Raw genomic sequence first — 2,609 nt, 5'->3', positions numbered from 1 at the left:
AATTAAAAATCTCATGATTAGTCAGTTTCTATAACAGCCTGTTCACTGTAGTTATACTGTAGAATTTATAGATATTCATTTTGAAACACAAACATGTACCACAGTCATTTTCTCTTCAAACAATAAAATTAGATTAGATTTTATTGAACCGTAACTTTATTGTCATAAGCAAATAAAAATGAAAGAGTTCTTAGAAACAAACCACATTGTAAACTAAAAATAAATTCCTAAACCCCTCAACAGACAGAACAGACCCCCCTCTTGGTCAAGGGGACCCTAGAGAAACCTGAAAATCTGACTTTTTGGCCGTGACAAGAAGGGAGGTTGAATGCGCCTCATTAAACTCCCTCTCTCTGGAGTTTAGGCTCAATCGAGCAGCATTAGTGTTAACATAGAGATGATAAGGCTGACAAAACAGACTCTTTCTGGCAATAAGATACCAAATTATAAACAAGACCTAAGATCATGCAAGGCAAGGGTTAAGTCATGCCCTCCAAACCATAAAATCCTGTTCGTTTTTGTTTTGTTTTGTTTTTTATAACCCAGTATAATGTGGCTTACTTTCCACCCTGACTCAGGTATGGCATTGCATGACAGGTAGCAGACACCCTTATCTTAACTCAAGCATTCGTTTCCACTGACTTCACGTGTTTTAGACAAAGCCTAACTCTTTCAAGCAATTGTCAAGTAAAGAATCCCTAAAGCCTACCTATGACTTGCAAGCTCTCACTTGAACATGTTCCACCTTCTTGGGCTGAACAAATGTATGCCTTCCATGTATTGATTTATGATTTTACCTGCAAGTTTGTCTGCCTGAAATGTATAAATCCAAACTGTAACCTGACTGCATTGGGCACATCTTTTTAGGACCTCTTGAGGCTGTGTATCCCTGGGCCACAGTGACTCCTATTGGCTCACAATAAACCTCTTTAAAATATTTCACAGTTTGTTTTTCTCCACTAAAATCATAAAATCATGCTTATCCTAGATGGAGAAATTAGAACAAAGGAGAAATTGATTTCAATGCCAGGAGCTGGAATCCATTTCCTATTCAAATGCTTTTTATCCCTGGGAATACGTTGTTTTACTTCCCTCAGCTGTCCACCTGAGGGGCAGATGTTGAAATGCAAATCAGTGGGCAGGGAAGAGAGACTTTCCTGTTTCCTGCTTTTAAGTGCTGATATCCTTTGCCTTGTTTCTGTAGCAAAGCTCTCCTTAAAGGAAGGATTACGTCTGTTCACTGTTCCCTACTTTAATATATCCTGGGAGGGATGCTGTTTTACCTCTTGGAAAAAAAAAATTAACCATTTGTGTAACATTAAAGCTTGAGCCATTGTAAAGATAGTATACACTAGAATCTTTACTGACTTTTAAGAAAATTAGTCCTCAGTGTCACTAATGTGTCCTCTCCCTTATGTCATCACTGTTAAGATGTTGTCAATAGAATAAACTTATATATAGTGACTGTGAGAGGACAGTCATGGGCTATCCAAAATTCAATCAGATATCATGTAGCCCTGAGAATATAGAAGAATGATAGGTTTCACTGTGTTCAAAAATCTTTAGACTCAGGATGAAAAACATTTCTACTTCGTAAGAGCTAAAGAAATGTAAAATTCAACCAATCATAACATGAGTGGCAGGTGCGCCCTGCTGTGGGTAGGTGACTGAAATCTGGGGCTATGTTCCACCTCCTTAGTCACTGGAATAGAAATATAAATAGAAGTCAGCATGTCCCATCAGAGTTACATAAAATGGTCTAGTCACAATTTTTTACTTTTAATTAAATGCAATTAACTAGATTGTTGTTACTTTTGTAACTGGATCCTTCTCTTTTAAAAATGAAAACATATACAATTAAGAATAGATGAATTTAAAAGAATCAAAATCAGTTAAGATCTCTTCAGATCAGAAAGAACTGGATGTTAGTTAGCATTTTATAAAATCGTGATGTTTAAAAGAATTTAGAAACCCTATCAAATACAATTTTAAAATATGTATTGAATAATCAGTTTAGATCTGTGAGTTGTAAGCTAATTATTAATGTATAGTACTGAGTTATATAATTAAACTTTGAGTATAAGATACATTTAAGTAAACATAAAGTATAAACCATATAAAATAAAAACTATAAGTTAAATTTATTAAATTTAAAACATTTAAGCTCTTGAGAAGAATATTTTTGGCTACAAAATTCAAATACATAAGCTAGAAACTAAACATGAAATTAAGTATAAAAAGATTTTAAAGGTGACTAACAAATTTTGTAAATGGAATCAAATATTGAAATGCTCATTTGAAGTGATTACTAAAATGTGCAAGATTTATAAATAGAATATTTTATAAATTGAATGTTACATATTAATAAATATCTAGCCTTTTGTGCCTTTAGCAACTGGAATACTAATTGTATAAAACAAAAATAAAGCTCTAATTACACTTCTCTGTACAAAATAATTTTCAGGGATAGTAAAATCACACATCAGCATATGTAAGAGACTGTTAATCCAAAAGAAGATATTTCTCCCTCTCAGAATTTGGGAGCAAACTCAGAAATATTCACCTTCTAAAAATTGTCTTATCAGAAGAAAGACTGTTTTGGCAAAGAT

The 2,609-nt window shown here is 33.4% G+C and overlaps 1 annotated feature.

Annotated features, from left to right (window-relative positions):
* Window positions 915-1,416: an enhancer, noted in NCBI's record as "NANOG hESC enhancer chr7:49526485-49526986 (GRCh37/hg19 assembly coordinates)". NCBI's record gives its function as "activates a minimal SCP1, AML or CMV promoter by ChIP-STARR-seq in naive H9 embryonic stem cells {active_cell/tissue: H9 hESC(naive)}" and the evidence as "EXISTENCE:reporter gene assay evidence [ECO:0000049][PMID:30033119]".

The sequence above is a fragment of the Homo sapiens genome, chromosome 7 (assembly GCF_000001405.40).
Source record: "Homo sapiens chromosome 7, GRCh38.p14 Primary Assembly".
NCBI classification, from domain to species: Eukaryota; Metazoa; Chordata; class Mammalia; order Primates; family Hominidae; genus Homo; species Homo sapiens.
The sequence above is the reverse complement of the archived record's forward strand: the minus strand, read 5'-3'. Positions and strand labels throughout refer to the sequence as shown.